The sequence below is a fragment of the Homo sapiens genome, chromosome 2 (genome assembly GCF_000001405.40).
Source record: "Homo sapiens chromosome 2, GRCh38.p14 Primary Assembly".
In the NCBI taxonomy this organism is placed as follows: domain Eukaryota; kingdom Metazoa; phylum Chordata; class Mammalia; order Primates; family Hominidae; genus Homo; species Homo sapiens.
The window spans coordinates 50,083,934-50,099,265 of record NC_000002.12 but is presented as its reverse complement, the minus strand read 5'-3'; the positions used below and the strand labels follow the sequence as shown (position 1 = coordinate 50,099,265).

At 36.6% G+C, this 15,332-nt stretch overlaps 1 protein-coding gene across 19 annotated transcripts in view, besides 2 other annotated features; it reads left to right on the top strand.

Moving 5' to 3' along the window:
* The window catches only part of NRXN1 (neurexin 1), a 1,113,630-nt gene that overhangs the window by 932,867 nt on the left and 165,431 nt on the right, over window positions 1–15,332 (top strand). For all 19 annotated transcript variants that reach the window (NM_001330096.2, NM_001330087.2, NM_001330083.2 and 16 more), the window contains one exon: window positions 7,772–7,943. In NM_001330096.2, coding sequence (NP_001317025.1) covers window positions 7,772–7,943 — 172 coding nt within the window. The remainder of the gene's footprint in view (window positions 1–7,771; window positions 7,944–15,332) is intronic.
* Window positions 14,107–14,619: an enhancer, noted in NCBI's record as "H3K27ac-H3K4me1 hESC enhancer chr2:50311785-50312297 (GRCh37/hg19 assembly coordinates)". NCBI's record gives its function as "activates a minimal SCP1, AML or CMV promoter by ChIP-STARR-seq in primed H9 embryonic stem cells {active_cell/tissue: H9 hESC(primed)}" and the evidence as "EXISTENCE:reporter gene assay evidence [ECO:0000049][PMID:30033119]".
* Window positions 14,620–15,133: an enhancer, noted in NCBI's record as "H3K27ac-H3K4me1 hESC enhancer chr2:50311271-50311784 (GRCh37/hg19 assembly coordinates)". NCBI's record gives its function as "activates a minimal SCP1, AML or CMV promoter by ChIP-STARR-seq in primed H9 embryonic stem cells {active_cell/tissue: H9 hESC(primed)}" and the evidence as "EXISTENCE:reporter gene assay evidence [ECO:0000049][PMID:30033119]".

Here is a 15,332-nt window from a genome sequence, read left to right as displayed (position 1 = left end):
CCTACCCTAAAGTTGTTTTTAATAGGTTTGAGGGGTTGAAATGGGCATATAAAAACTAACACCTAAGGCAGTGTGTGGAGGAGGACTGGCACAGGCTTAGAAAATTTTATTAGACATTCTTAGGACCAAGAGATGAATTTAAGCCTCCAGGAAGTTAATATCGCTGCCAGAATATAGTCTCATTGAAGGAGCTACAGCATCCTGTAGGATGGAGACATATTAGAAAAGATACACTATCCTTAATGAAGATTTGATGGGGAAATGAAAAGGCTGTTTTTTAAAAATGTATTACTCCTAAATGAGATGTTTCTGAGGTGGTATTGCCCACATATCTTGCCCACTTCTGATTCCTTATTGTGTAGTGCTACAAAATGTAACTAGCCAAAAAAAAAAAAAAAAAAAAAAAAAAAAAAAAAAAAAAAAAAAAAAAAAAAACTAAAACCAAAAACAAAACCATGCACCCTGTAGTAACCCTCCTCTTGACTCATCCTCTAAGGGTGCCTTAGTTTCAAGACATTTTCCTGGAACACTGACACAACTGACATTATTCAGTTTTAGAATGCCCCACCAAATTGGTCATATTTCAGTACCCATAATTATTGGCTGTGTGATTTCAGCAAGATTAAAGTTTCCAAGGAGATAGAGACAATGGCACTTACCTTTCAGGTCTGCTGGGAGTTTTAGATGAGATACATTGTATAGAGCTCAATACCTGGCACATAGTGAGTAGTCTGGTATGTGGGGCCTGAAAGGAGAGATAGAAGGTAGACAGAACATAACTTCTATGTCCCTGGGAGTTGCATTAGAACCTGCTGGTAGTGTTAGAGCTGTCCAAATGCTGGTTTGCTCCCATGGCAGTTTGAGGCTTCCAGAGATCCTTCAGATGCTTCCCCCAATGCACCTGTGCTTTTCCCCACCACTCCCTCAACTCTTTTGTGGGTATGAGTATTTGCATGCACGATTTACCTTCCCAATTTGATTGAAAGTTTTCCCAGGAGCAGAAAACAGACTTTACCTGTTTTTATTCTCCTCCCAGTAGTAGGAAAATGCTGGGTGCATATTACATACTTTTTATTAGTTACCTGAATGAATTTTAAACAGACGCTATTTAATGGAGAAAATAGGAGACAGGGCAGCAGGAACTTCTTGTTTTTGATGTGGTGGTGTTGCTTTTTGGGGGTTAGAGGATGGCATGTATATCTCAGTGCCAGGTTAAAACAACTAGATTAAAACCACTTCTTACCATTATAGGCCATCTAAATTGGTAAACAGAGTCTCTACCAGCCAAGAGGGCCTCTAAGTAATTCACTTAGAAATGTATTTGGGTGGCTGGGGGCAGTGGCTCACACGTGTAATCCCAGCAGTCTGAGAGGCCAAGGTGGGCAGATCACCTGAGGTCAGGATTTCGAGACCAGCCTGACCAACATGGAAAAACCCTGCCTCTACCAAAAATACATTATTAGCTGGGCGTGGTGGCATGCACCTGTAATCCCAGCTACTTCGGAGGCTGAGGCAGGAGAATCACTTGAACAAAGGAAGCAAAGGTTGCAGAGAGCTGAGATCGTGCCATTGCACTCCAGCCTGGGCAATAAGAGTGAAACTCCATCTCAAAAAAAAAAAAAAGTGTTTGGGCTAAATTAGCAATTATCTGAGTGTGTTTGTTTTTAGGTGAGATAACAGATGGCTCTCTGATACTGTCTGCAGTGTTGCATAGTCCAACAACTGTGACTATAGGCTCCAGACTCCCCTTCATGCCTTAAAACCTTTGCTCCCTGGTGAGGATTAGTCTCTGGAGAAGCAAAACATTCCATTCACCCAACTCTGGTTTCAATCAACAATGTAGATTTGGACTATGGGAGTCTTTCTGTATTCTGAAATGAGTACAAGCATAGAGAGAGCATTTAAAGACATTGTTGAGTTCTGTCCAAAGTGGGGCCCTGGAGTACTGGACTGTACTATGGTGCATGACAGAAGTTTACAGAACGTAAACAGGGCTCCCTGCTAATCTACATGCCCTCCTGAGTTGCACACTTGCTCACAATGTTTGGTCCTTCTCTCTAGGAGTATAGTAAACAGACACAGAGAGAGACATTTTTATTTGTTACTGGTCTCTGTTCCTGAGCATAGTTGAGCCAAACATTTCTATATAACAATCCAAGAATGGGGTGAGGGGAAACAGTGCACTAAAATCTTATGTAACATGTCTGTATGCCACATGTAGACCGAAATCTTTACTTACGTGTATTCTGCTTTATCCATTTCATAGGCACATATTATATATGCATCTGTAACATGCAGACATCTTGCTTGAAGTATACCCAAGATATTGATTACACCATTAAATCTTAATCTTAGTTAAAACATAAAACTTACAAGTGCATATGTTATTTCATATGGAATTAGACAGTGCATTAAACTATGGTGCCACTTGCTAGAAATTTCAGGGACCTTCCCAGTGTCATATTTCATGATGTTTCCCTTTAACTTGGTTTAATAATATAATCTTTATTCAGAAATGAGCTTTTGTAAAAAAATCAATAATTACCATTGTCACTGTTTATTTAATGAATCCATGGAAAGTCTTCATTAAATTATAAATGCCTCGTTACTGATATTCTTATAAGAGATTTTTGAAATTATGATTTGAGCCAGTTATCTATTTCAAGGAATATACAGTACAGGGAGATCAAGACATGTACAGGGAGATAAAGACATGTCCAGTGAAATGACTTCTGGTTTTGCTAATGCAATATTCATGAGAATTTGCCAAGACAATCATATTTAATCCCAGAGAATAAGAGTTTGAAATGAATTCTTTTAAATTGTAATTACGCATTGGCAAGAAAGTTTAGCACGTTTTATTGCTTATATAATTTAAATGACTTGCTATCCTATAAACATGAGATGGTTGTGTTGTAAGAATATCTATAGTTTCTGAATTAAATAGTAAATACCGGTCTTATAAATATGCTTGTTATTAGTATTTTGTGCTTTATGTGTATTTTAAATTTATTGTTTTCAGGGAAAACTCTTTGGCGATCATTTATAATTAAACTGTTTTTCAAAGCCTGATGCAACTTGGGGTGAAGTAGATAATGTCTGAATTAGGGTCGGGCCTGTTGTTTGAACCCTTATTTTGATAGCCTTCAGTTCCATTCTAGCTAACTCTAGAGTTTAAATCCATGAGATGTCAAAGACATTTGAAGTTGAGGCAACAACTGAACATCTCCAAGAAGAGATGGGCGTCATTTAAAAGTCAAATGATATGAGAACACTTGGACACAGGAAGGGGAACATCACACACCGGGGCCTGTTGTGGGGTGGGGGGAGGGGGGAGGGATAGCGTTAGGAGATACACCTAATGTCAATGACGAGTTAATGGGTGCAGCACACCAACATGGCACATGTATACATATGTAACAAACCTGCACGTTGTGCACATGTACCCTAGAAATTAAAGTATAATAAAAAAATATATATATAAAATTAAAAAAAAAAAAAGTCGGATGTTCTCCAAGCATCACGGATGCTCATTGTTTCTAAATTGTTTATTTTATTGTGTTGCAAAAAAACCAAATCCTATGAAATCTGGAGATTTCTGCACCTAGAAAATGAGCATTTTGCATTTCATATTGCAGAAAGTTTTAAGGTTAAGTTAAAGGGACTTATTTCAGAGTTTAGTGCATTTTTCACCTTTAACATTGCAATGCTTCTATTCACTGAATCTAGACCTTCTTAATAATTAATACTCTGATGAAAATAGGCTCTTATGGCCTACTTCCATAATAAGTTTCATAATAAGTAGGAAACTGCAAGAATTTTTTCCAGTGTATCCTGGATAAGAACCAGGTCTATAATAGACGAGACCCTAAAACAATGGGCAACCCTAGAGTAACAGATATCTTCCTGTACTTGTTGTGTTGAAAGTACTTCCCAAGGTGTAACAGGAATTAAACTTGTTCTGTAAAAATATTTCTTTCTAACCACCAGGGAAGTCCACAGGGAGTCTCAACAGTGCTTTGCTCCCTCTTGGATAGTAAAAAGGTCATCCGTTCACTTTTAGACATAAAAAGTAAAATCAGCTTACTCCTCTGTAATAGCAGAAGTCAGTTAAAGCCTCTTCATTATCCCTGCTTCAGCCACAGTGGAGCCCCCACTTGCACTGGGAGGAGCACGATTGTTTCCATGGCTTTCACTATTCCTCTCCCTCTCTTATTCCTCCAGGGATGAAGCAGAAGAAAGAAGACATAAAGGGCAGAAATGACCTTACTTGGCTAGTATTATTGTAGCCATCTAGTTGAGCTTAGCCTATACTTAAAGTTCTTAAGGAGGCACTTTTCGGAAGCATTTGGTTCTTTACAGACCTTAACCCCATTATTAGAATTTACCTGCAATTCCATTGAGGTAGTAAATGCACTTCCTTCAGATGGTCATTTAGGATTCCCACCTCACCATCTGGTCATCTATCACTGCAATTCCAAGTTCTTTTTTTTTTTTTCTTTTCTTTTCTCAGTTTTCTTCACCACTCAGCCCAATCCCTTTAGTAACCCTGCTAAACAGGATACAATACAATTCTACACAGACTCTAACCTAGGGTCCACAAGTGTCCTTTGTCCTAACAAACCCTAATGCACAAGTGGCTCCTGGTACATCAATATCTCTTTGCTTGGCCACTGGGCATCAGCAAGCCACAGTCTCTTCCCTTGAAGATTTCTCAGTTATAGTCAAATACTAGTTTGCTCACTACCTTGACCGCTGCCACCCACCAAGTCCCAGAAGACACATATCAAATTTTCTTAGATGTTCCACTAATGTCCCTTTCTCCTGCACTTGAGATAGGGAAAAGCAGACTTCCACCCTGCAGTATGTGGAAATCACATCACATCTCAACTGTCTCCAAAAATCCTCTTCTAATTGTCAGTCTCCTCTTGCCTTTTTCTGCATTTTGATGGACTAGAAGTAGGTAATTAATTCAGGACCCTAAAAGCAGTTCTCAGTGTTCTCCTTTGCAAGACTGGCTTAAGTAACTTTATGCTTCATTTTGTAAGATGGAAACAGTAATGTGTTTTTGACTTATTATGTTATCATGTTAACATCTCAGCTGAAACTGAAACAAAAAGAATCATTTTAATATTCTATTATATCCACATATCAGTTGCTTACAATTTATTCCAAAATTATTTTAAACATACATTGATTGATACATGTCTACTAACTTCAAAGAACAATACAAGGCCCCTTAGTGATGCTATTCTAGCAGGAGAGATAAAACAGGTAGTAAAAACAGCTAGATTTACCAAATCTGCTAGCTACAGCTATAGGATGGCACAACAGTCCTAAACTCAGCCTGGTGTAATGATTAAGGACCAGACTCTGGAGCCTAACTGTGTGGATCTGAACCATAGCTTTTCTCTTTCCAGCTGTGCGACCTTAGCCAAATTGCTTAATCACCCTGTGCCTTAATTTTCTCATCTGTAAAATGAAGATAAAATAGCATCTCCCTCATGGAACTGTTATGAAGAATACCAGAGTTAGTATTTATAAAATGTATAGAGCCCTACGTATGTGTTTGGTTGTTAGGAAACTCAGGGTCCATGTAGATAGGGTAATTTTTAAAATATTTATTTATTTTGAGACAGGGTCTTACGCTGTCAACCAGGCAGGAGTTCAGTGCACAGTCATGGCTCACTGCAGCCTCAGCCTCCGGGGCTCAAGTGATCTTCCCACCTCAGCCTCCTGAGTAGTTGGGAATACAGGTGTGTGCCACCATGCCCAGATTTTCTTTTTTTTTTCTTTTTCTTTTTTTTTAATAGTAAAGACGAGATCTTGCTATGTTTCCCAGGCTGGTCTCCAACTCCTGGGCTTGAACAATCCTCTTCACCTTGGCCTCCCAAACTGCTGGGATTATACATGTGTGCCATCACTTCTGGCTGGGTAATTTTAATAGCTGCAGAGACTTTAGTATATATTTTCCCCTGGACTTATTATTTTCCACCATATTTCTCATGACCCTTACTTTTAAATACATGTCATTGTAAGGCATTTTAGTATTGTGTAGACTGACTCAGCTAATAAACAAACAGCAAAAGTCCAATGAAAATTCAAACGTTATTCAAAGACTTATGGAGATTTTTTTAAAGATTTTTTTTTAGCTCAGACCTTTTTGTAAGCATGCATTATTTTCTTATTTTAACAGAATTACTTTTTGCTCATTTTCAGTAATTAATTTAGTACATACATTTTTAACACATGTGATATAACTCTACAGAAAAATTTTAAAGAATCTCATTTAAGAGACATAATAAGTTATCTTTATTTAACAAACATGTATATAGTGTTAAAATGTGATTTTTTAAAAAAGTTAAACCATCCGTCAAGCCTAAAGCTAATCAAACCAAAAAAAATTGTAAGCATGCTAACTTATAAGAAAGAGATCTTTATGTACAATAAGAACCCAGGGGGAAGAAAACCAACAGAAACCTTTAGGATCTCTACATGAAGGAGATAATGAGCAATACTGCAAAATAACATCCTCAAATATTTTCCTTTGATTAATACAATTTTGAAAAAGATTTTCCGTAAGGATTCTTAGTGTAAGCTGATTCCATACTCCTGCTGCCTAGTTCAAATAATGATGAGAACCCCACAAAGAGTCAAGAGAATGTGGCCCAAATCTTCAGGTTTCTAACATTCTGATTTAAAACTTCTACAGGAAAGGATGGACTGTGTGTACTTTAAACCCTTCTTCCTCCGTGTGATTTCTCTCAACTGAGGTTTGAAGAAGGGTGAACCACAGACAGTTTGAGGTTATGTGTTCTGACAAGGGCCTACAGCACAGGTATTCTGTGCAACTGATTAAGGACAAATCCACATGCTTTAGAAATCAACTGATTTCATGGTAGAGTTGACAGTCCTGTTAAAGAATGCTTCTCAGAGGCAGAGGACATAGCACATGTTTCTCTTTGCCACCTTATATTATGAAATTCTAAAGTTAACAGCAACAACTTTATAGTTAGAATGATTCATAATGAGGCTTTGCATATGAAGAAGTGAAGAGGGCGTTCATTTTGGATAACGGTATCTTTGCTTCAACTTAGCTTAGATATAATCTAAGAATAAGGGAAATGAATTTTAGTTTTCGTACGTCTCTATTATGTGTCCTTGAACAAGTCTTGTACCTTCCTGTGTTATCATCAATAAAATGTTGATGTTTCATCATCAATAAAATAAAAACATTGAATAACTTTCAAGCTGTTAGTATTTGATGGTTTTGTGAATACTGACTAAGGGACTGCACTCATTAAATGCCCCATACCCTTTAGAATGATTTCCCCTATTGTGAGTATTTGTCAATGGGCTCTAAACAGACATCATTGCTCTGATTTCACCAGTTATTAAAAGTAAGAATTTGGAGCCCCGTTTTTCTTGTGAAATGGGGAGAGTGGATTAAAGGGGTTGTGTTAAAGTACACAAAAGGATGTCCTTTGTGCAGGCAGCTGTGCGCCTTCTCTGTGACAACCTCTGGGAAGAAGGCGGCTCAATTCCCTTGAAAGTGTGCCTTTTGGAATATCAATTATCCATGAAAGAGATGTCTTAAATTTACCCAGATGTCAAGAATCTTGCTTCTACTACATGTAGTTTTTCAGAAGTAAAATTGGAGGAAAGCAGCTGTTGTCCAAAGCACATTTTAAAACAATACCTTGTATGTAATCTTTATTAAATGGTGACTAGTCAACTTAATTCAACTCTTTTTTCCCCTCCTCTCTTACAGCACCAGGGAAAAATTGGAGTTAAGTTTAATGTTGGGACAGATGACATCGCCATTGAAGAATCCAATGCAATCATTAATGATGGGAAATACCATGTAGTTCGTTTCACGAGGAGTGGTGGCAATGCCACGTTGCAGGTGGACAGCTGGCCAGTGATCGAGCGCTACCCTGCAGGTAAGCAAGTGAATATGTATCGGGGGAAGATTTTATGAAAAACAAACTGGAAGAAAAAGCACTGTTTTGCATCCGTTTCACCAAATTGTGGTTTTCTGAGAAACCATCAACTATTTATTGGACTTTAGAGTCATGTGAATGTAATGCTGTCCTAAACTGTTCTTGCTACAGTGTACAAATGCCATTTTATAGGAGAACGTGAAGGTGTACATTATCGTTTTCAAAATTCAGGACATCAATGAAATCAGAAAAATGCACACATAAAAAGCACAACATATCAAAGCTCTTTTTACTGGATCCTTGCATTTAAACAAAGGAAAGGCTTTGTCAAAAGTAAAAAAGTTAAAATTTAAAACTAAGGGAAAGAATATTATAACACTTTTTTTTTCTGAGAGAAAATAAGACCTAACGCTTCCTCAGATGGTAGTGCACAGCTGAAACACATTAAAGTGTAGGGATCCCGTGAGATAAGTAGAGAACTAGTGAGAAAACAATAGTAGCATAAATCAGCAGTTATAAGAACATGTACATAAAAGAAGTTTGTTTTCACTTTCATATAACCATAGAGTTTCATGAGGATTCTTTGACACTAGCACTACTCATTTTAAGTCTATAAAATAAATGTCAAGCCGTTATTGATAAAATAAAAATTATCTTGTTTATTGTGAATGAGTTTTATCAATATTATGTTATTGAAACAAAGGTGGTAGATTAGAAATTTTAAACAATGTTACTTGTGGTTGTATATATCCTCAATTTTAAAACAAATATGCTTTTTAAGTAATATATAAATTAAAAGTATAAAGATATTTTACTGCAATCATTATCGTCTCTATTACTAAAAGCATCAGTCTCATTTCTCTCTTCCCCTTTTAGATATAACTATGTTTTTTGCAAAGCACACAATTTATAACACAGTATAAAGAAAAAGTATAAAAATACATTTCTATTTTACCCAATAAAAATAATAATCAAAATTTATATTTAAATTCTTCTATCACACTTATTTGGTTCTTGAAAGAAGTAATTTAATGACATAACCAATGTATTCAATTGATATCAAATATCCCAAGTACTGACTCACAATTGTGGAATGAAATGTCTATAATACCCTTCTGGACCTTTTCTGGTTTATAGAATTCTAAATCTTCAAGCCCTAGTTCAAACCTATTCCACAAGCCTAGTACTCTGCCAATATTTGCTGAATTAAATGTAATAAAAAAACTGCTCTATGACAAAGTTAGGAAGCAAGGAAATTAATATGTCCAGTGCCTGTTATAATACTGGCAAATAGTAGGCATTCAGTAAATATTTGCTGAATCGATGTCTTGGGAATTACCACAATTTTACACTACAATTATGTGAACCATATACAATAAGGTGAAGTAATGGAAGATTTGAAAGCCAAGTAACTTAATATGCATGCAATGTTACATAGCCCCTGCTAATCCCAGATTATTGCATTATCTGAAATCCTAGTATAAATGTGCAATTTCAATTTTTATTCTTTATCAATTTAACTTTTTTTTTTTTTTTGAAGCAAGGTCTCACTCTTTTGCCCAGACTGGATGTAGTGGCAGTCATAGCTCACTGTAACCTCAAACTCCTGGGCTCACAGGATCCTCCTTCCTTGGCCTCTCTAGTAGCTAGGACTACAGGTGCACACCACCATGCCTGGCTAATTTTTAAAATTTTTTTGTAGAGATGGGGGTCTCGCTATGTTGCTCAGGCTGGTCTTGAACACCTGACCTTAAGTGATCTTCCTGCCTCGGCCTCCCAAAGTGCTGGGATTACAGGCATGAGCCACCATGCCCAGCCTAAAAAATGTGCTTTTAAAAGTAATAGCTAAAACCTTAATAAAATAACAGAAAGGTGTATTGGTAATTTTCCTAAAATATGGATTAATCACTGCCTATTTGCTGAGAGAAAGTCATCACACTGGATGCCATGAAAATATATAGTAGGGTAAGGTCTAGGCTTTGCTCATGGGATGTTGTCAGCTGTGAACAGTGGACCTGAACGTGCAAAATGATAAATCCTGTTACTATTGCAGTGTGGCATTTGCCTCTTGAGGCATGGTTTTGTGTTCATAGTTAATTCTTGAAAATGTCTTTATTTAGTAACTTTTAACACTTAATCAGCAATTTCCAAACTGGTATCTTTACCTAGAGCTTATTACTACTTATGGTGAGAAAGGGAAAGTCCCATTAGTTTGGGAAATTCTGGGTTAAGCTAAGTTAAAATATCTATACTTGGACTTTATTAATATGCATAATGTATCTGTAAAAGAGAAATACAGGATGCTTTACCCAAGCATAGATGATAGAAAATAAATATAGGATATATTAGCCAAACATCATTGCATTTTAGTAAATATTTTATGTTTTCAAAAATGTCTATATGCCCCAATTTTACTATATTTTATTTGACTGTGCACATACCAGATGCCATGTACTGAATATAGTTCAAAAAAGATATGGTTCCTGTGTTCTTGTAGCAGACTAATGTCCAATTTGAATCTGGTAGCTGAGATTGAGGCAGTACTTATTAATTATTTGAAAAAAATATTTGTACATATTTTTCTAGATTAATATTTGTTTAACACATATAGTACCTTATTTGCCAATTAAATAATTGTTCAGAATAAGAAACACAATGTAAAAGATGTTTAAAAATAGAAATGAGCAGTATCGTAATAAGAAGCAAATCTTTACATATAGTTATTTCAGATACAACTTTCAACATTTAATCAGAGATTTTAAATGCCCTTTTACCAAGATGTATTTTAGAAAATATAAATAAACCAAGAGTGGGCAAAGTTGCAATTATTCTGAAGGATATACGCAAGGTAAAACACAGAGTCGGCCCTCAAGAAAATAAAGCACATATGAAGAATTTCAATATATACATATAAAAAGTTAATGATCAATATATAAAGAACTCAGGGGAGTCACCATTGTCATCAGATGTTTTATTAATCATCTGCTCTGTGTTCATTTCAGTGTGATGCTGAGGTAGGAAATAAGCCATGAAAATTTCAAATACCTTTTTCTCTTGGAACTTCATCTGCAACGGTGCCATAATGGCTGAATACAAATTTTGAAGAGTGTGTCACCTTGATTAAAGTTTTTGTGACACGGTGATTGTAAATACGAGTTCAGTAGCAAAGTCTAGTATATGTATTTTATGTCAGTTTGTGGTATGGCTCTTTTTATTAATTTTTGGGGTTATTTTTATTAGAAGAACAGCTAAATTAGAGCTTTTACCACCAAGTCTTATACTCAGAGAAGCGGGAACCAGCAGACTATATATGGTTCCTTTAAAGTGCCTGTACTGCAAAATATAGGTAATAAGGATTGAAATTAGTAATTAGTATAGCACTTAACCTCCATTATAGGTCTTTGTGGTAAGTGCTTTTATATGAAGCAATTCATCTGGTAGCAACACTATACCTTTAATGAAAAGCAACCAAAGCATTGACCAATGGTACTGCTCTGTAATTGCCTGGAAGGCTTTCATAGAGAAACTAATTAGTAGAGGTAGATTTTATGCTCTTTTTGAGTATATGAAATCTTCCTGTAACTCAACAGTTTACATTTTAGAATAAATATTGAATTTTCTGAATAGAAGACCTAGTATCCATTATTTTCTATATAGAGAGCAAAGTACAGAGATAATATTTTACAAACCATTTAAAGTTGAGAAAGCCATTTCTTGGTGCTTATCAGTTAAAGCTCTAGAATATAATGCATCATTAATCTCTGATTTGTCCCTAATTACAGTTATGCGGGAAAATTTTCTCTCTCCACAAAAATAGACTTTCTTTCTCATAACATTAATTCACAAAGCCTAACATCATCTTGCTTACCCTGACTAAAGATTGCTTCAGATAAATCACAGTTATCTTTGATAATAAACTTTTGAATTTGTTTTCCTATCACAGTGTGTCAAAAGATTTCTTTTACACTCTACACAAGGTCAAATGTTCGTTTTATACTCAAGTTAACATATTAAATCAACAAATATTTAAAGGATATATACTACATAAAAGTAACATACTAAATTTACAGTCTGGTTACAGAGATAGGCAAAAAAAAGTTCAAGATTAGAAATATAAAATGTGAGAAAGTGCTAGAGTTATCATATCATATTTGGCTAATTTCTGAATAAGATATAAAAGGAAAACTCGTTCCAAGGAAGAAGAGACCATTTTGAAGTGAGTGGTGCAGTAAGATTGTGAAATCAGTAGCAAATTAGATTTAGGTCTTTTCAAGCATGCATTCATTTAGGAAGGATTAGCAGGAAATGATAGAGACAGACAAACTATTTAGGAAACTACTAACCAATCCAGGTATCAAAAGATAAAGTACTAAAGTAGAATGTGAGAAAATAAACAAGATGAATGCAAAATACACTGTAAAAGCTAATGAACAACTTAATAGAAGGAGAGACATGCCCGCATTTTCGGCTCGCTCTCTCTCTCTCTCTCTCTCTCTCTCTCATTCTTCTCTGCCTCTCCCCCTCTCTCTCTTTTAACCAGCAATTATTCAATGTTCTAATGCTGCTGTGTGTCACCAGACAGCATTAGGTACCAATGAAATGGAAACCAGTTGTAGGAAGGAACAAAGAAGTCAAAGACATTATTATTCATGTTTGCCAACAGATTAGTCTGATTGGGAGATAAGGAGGATCCAGAAAACCTGAACATGTCAGATAAAATGTATTAACTTTCAAAATGCCGAGTTTGATTACTGTTAAGTTTAAGGAAAATAGAAAATGGTGGTCTGGAGTGGTAAGATAAAGAGATCCTTTAGGGATAAGAGGATCTGAGAGAAAGAGAGAAATGCTCTAAGACTCCATAGAGATGGTGTAAATCTTTTCTCGTGATCATGCAATTTGTCTGGAAGAGCTTATGAGTATTAGATCTAAACCTTAACTCTGTTTTCATCCATGAAATCTGGTAAAATATTTCAGGGCTCAGGAAGTCATATTATTACCCTAAATTCCAAACCTTTAGTGTAGCTTAATCTAAGATTAGTTTATTTTTAATTCAAGTCATCAGTAATTTATTATTTATTTAAGTCACTCTATTATTTAGAGATTGCAGGGTTGGTACTGAAGTGTTGGTTAATTTAATGATTTTTTAATATTTGTTTAATTTAATTTTTCAAAGTATCATGTAATTAAAGCAATCTACCTTACATGATCATTACATTTGAAGGAGGGAAGGAACTTCAACGTTCTTCTATTCCACGTCCTTCATTTATCAAACAACAAAATGGAACCTTGAAGAGACCAACTGGTTTGCTCAAGATCACAATGCTCGTTAGTGGCAGAGTAAAAACTACACTTGGGGACTGCTGTCTACAAGCTATGCACCTTCCTTTATAAAGTCTGGGAAACATAAAGTAAAATATACAAAGATCATTAGATGCATCTTTAAACATAGCATAGCCTATTCTTCATAACTAAATGTTATTACTTACATGATTGATCCTAACTGTATCAGTCGATGTCACAGTCTGCTATTTCTGCTGACCCACACAAACACATATACACACAAGACTATCTTATGGGTATTTAAACATAGTAACACATAAAAAAAATTTTCTTATAATAACCATAGAATTTATAATTTATATGATAAATTATAATTTATCTTATAATAACCATATTTTGTTTTCACTAAAGTTTTGAATCAATAATACTCGTTAGTAAGCACTAATTATTTTCTAACTTTACTAGAGAAACTTTATTAGCAAATTAAGTAAATTATTATGGACCATTAGAACATTAGAATACTTAAGAATCATTTGGGAGAAAAAGTTTGTTAAAAGAAGACTTGCCCATGTTCTCATTAAATGTATAGATATGGGAAATGTTTGACTAATTTTTTTCCTTCCTCTAAAAGTAAAATAGTGAAAATATAAGTCTTGTGGAAACTGATAAACCATATGGAATATCTGAATTATTGTTTAAATAACCAATTTTGAGTAGAGTCTAACAAAAGACGTAATAATCAGGGTGTGACACACAGAAGGTGCTTAATAAATAGTTGTTGAATAAATCAACATCCCTCCTTAAACTTCTAGGTCAAAGCATTTTTTTTCTGGTGGTTTTTAGCCAAAATATACTTACATGCATAGATGAATATTTATTTCAATATATAAATGTTTGGTTTCCATTGGAAATCATTAAATGTTTACTAATACTAACTTTCTGTAATAAATCTTACTCTGAGAAATCTGAAGCCACAAATACAGTAGCTGAGTAAATTAAACAAGTGTCTAAAACTCTGACTTTTCCTGTTTAATTATCTTTTTTCACAGTGTTCAATTTTGCTGGGAATTTGAGGTTATTCCAAATGATGAAACATAATGAACTTTTTTATTAAGTAGTATATTGAATGTGTCTTCCTAAAATTCTAAGCTTAGCTTCTGAGAAATTGTGTCCAAGGAGATGGAAAGAAATGATATATTATCAGACTTCTCACTTGTTCTTACTTTATCAATGACTTGGATTTTTTAAATATCAGAATTTTTACAGTTACTGTAAGGCAACTAAAAGGTGACAGCGTGCTAGCAGCCCTCCCTCGCTCTCGGTGCCTCCTCGGCCTCGGCGCCCATTCAGCCACGCTTGAGGAGCCCTTCAGCCTGCCACTGCACTGTGGGAGCCCCTTCCTGGGATGGCCAAGGCCAGAGCCGGTTCCCTCAGCCTGCGGGGGGTGTGGAGGGAGAGGCACGGGCGGGAACCGGGGCTGCGTGCGGCGCTTGCAGGCCACCTAGAGTTCCTGGTGAGCGTGGGCTTGGTGGGCCCTGCACTTGCAGCGGCCGGCCGGCCCTGTGGGCCCCGGCAGTGATGGGCTTAGCACCAGGGCCAGCAGATGCAGAGAGTGCGCAGGGTCCCCCATCAGTGCCGGCCCACCGGCACTGCGCTCGATTTCTCACTGGGCTTTAGCTGCCTCCCTGCGGGGCAGGGCTCGGAACCTGCAGTCCGCCATGCCTGAGCCTCCCCTCCCCAGTGTCCCCCCGCCACGGGCTCCTGTGCGGCCCCCTGCTCCGCGGCACCCAGTCTCATCCACCGCGCAAGGGCATGGCGCCGGACTGGCAGGCAGCTCCATCTGCCGCCCCGTGTGGGATACGCTGGGTGAAGCCAGCTGGGCTCCTGAGTTTGGTGGGGACTTGGAGAACCTTTATGTCTAGCCAAGGGATTGTAAACACAGCAATCAGCACCTTGTGTCTAGCTCAGGGTTTGTGGATGCACCAATCTGCACTCTGTATCTAACTAATCTGGTGGGGACTTGGAGAATCTTTATGTCTAGCTAAGGGATTGTGAATACACCAATCGGCACTCTATCTAGCTCAAGGTTTGTAAATGCACCAATCTGCG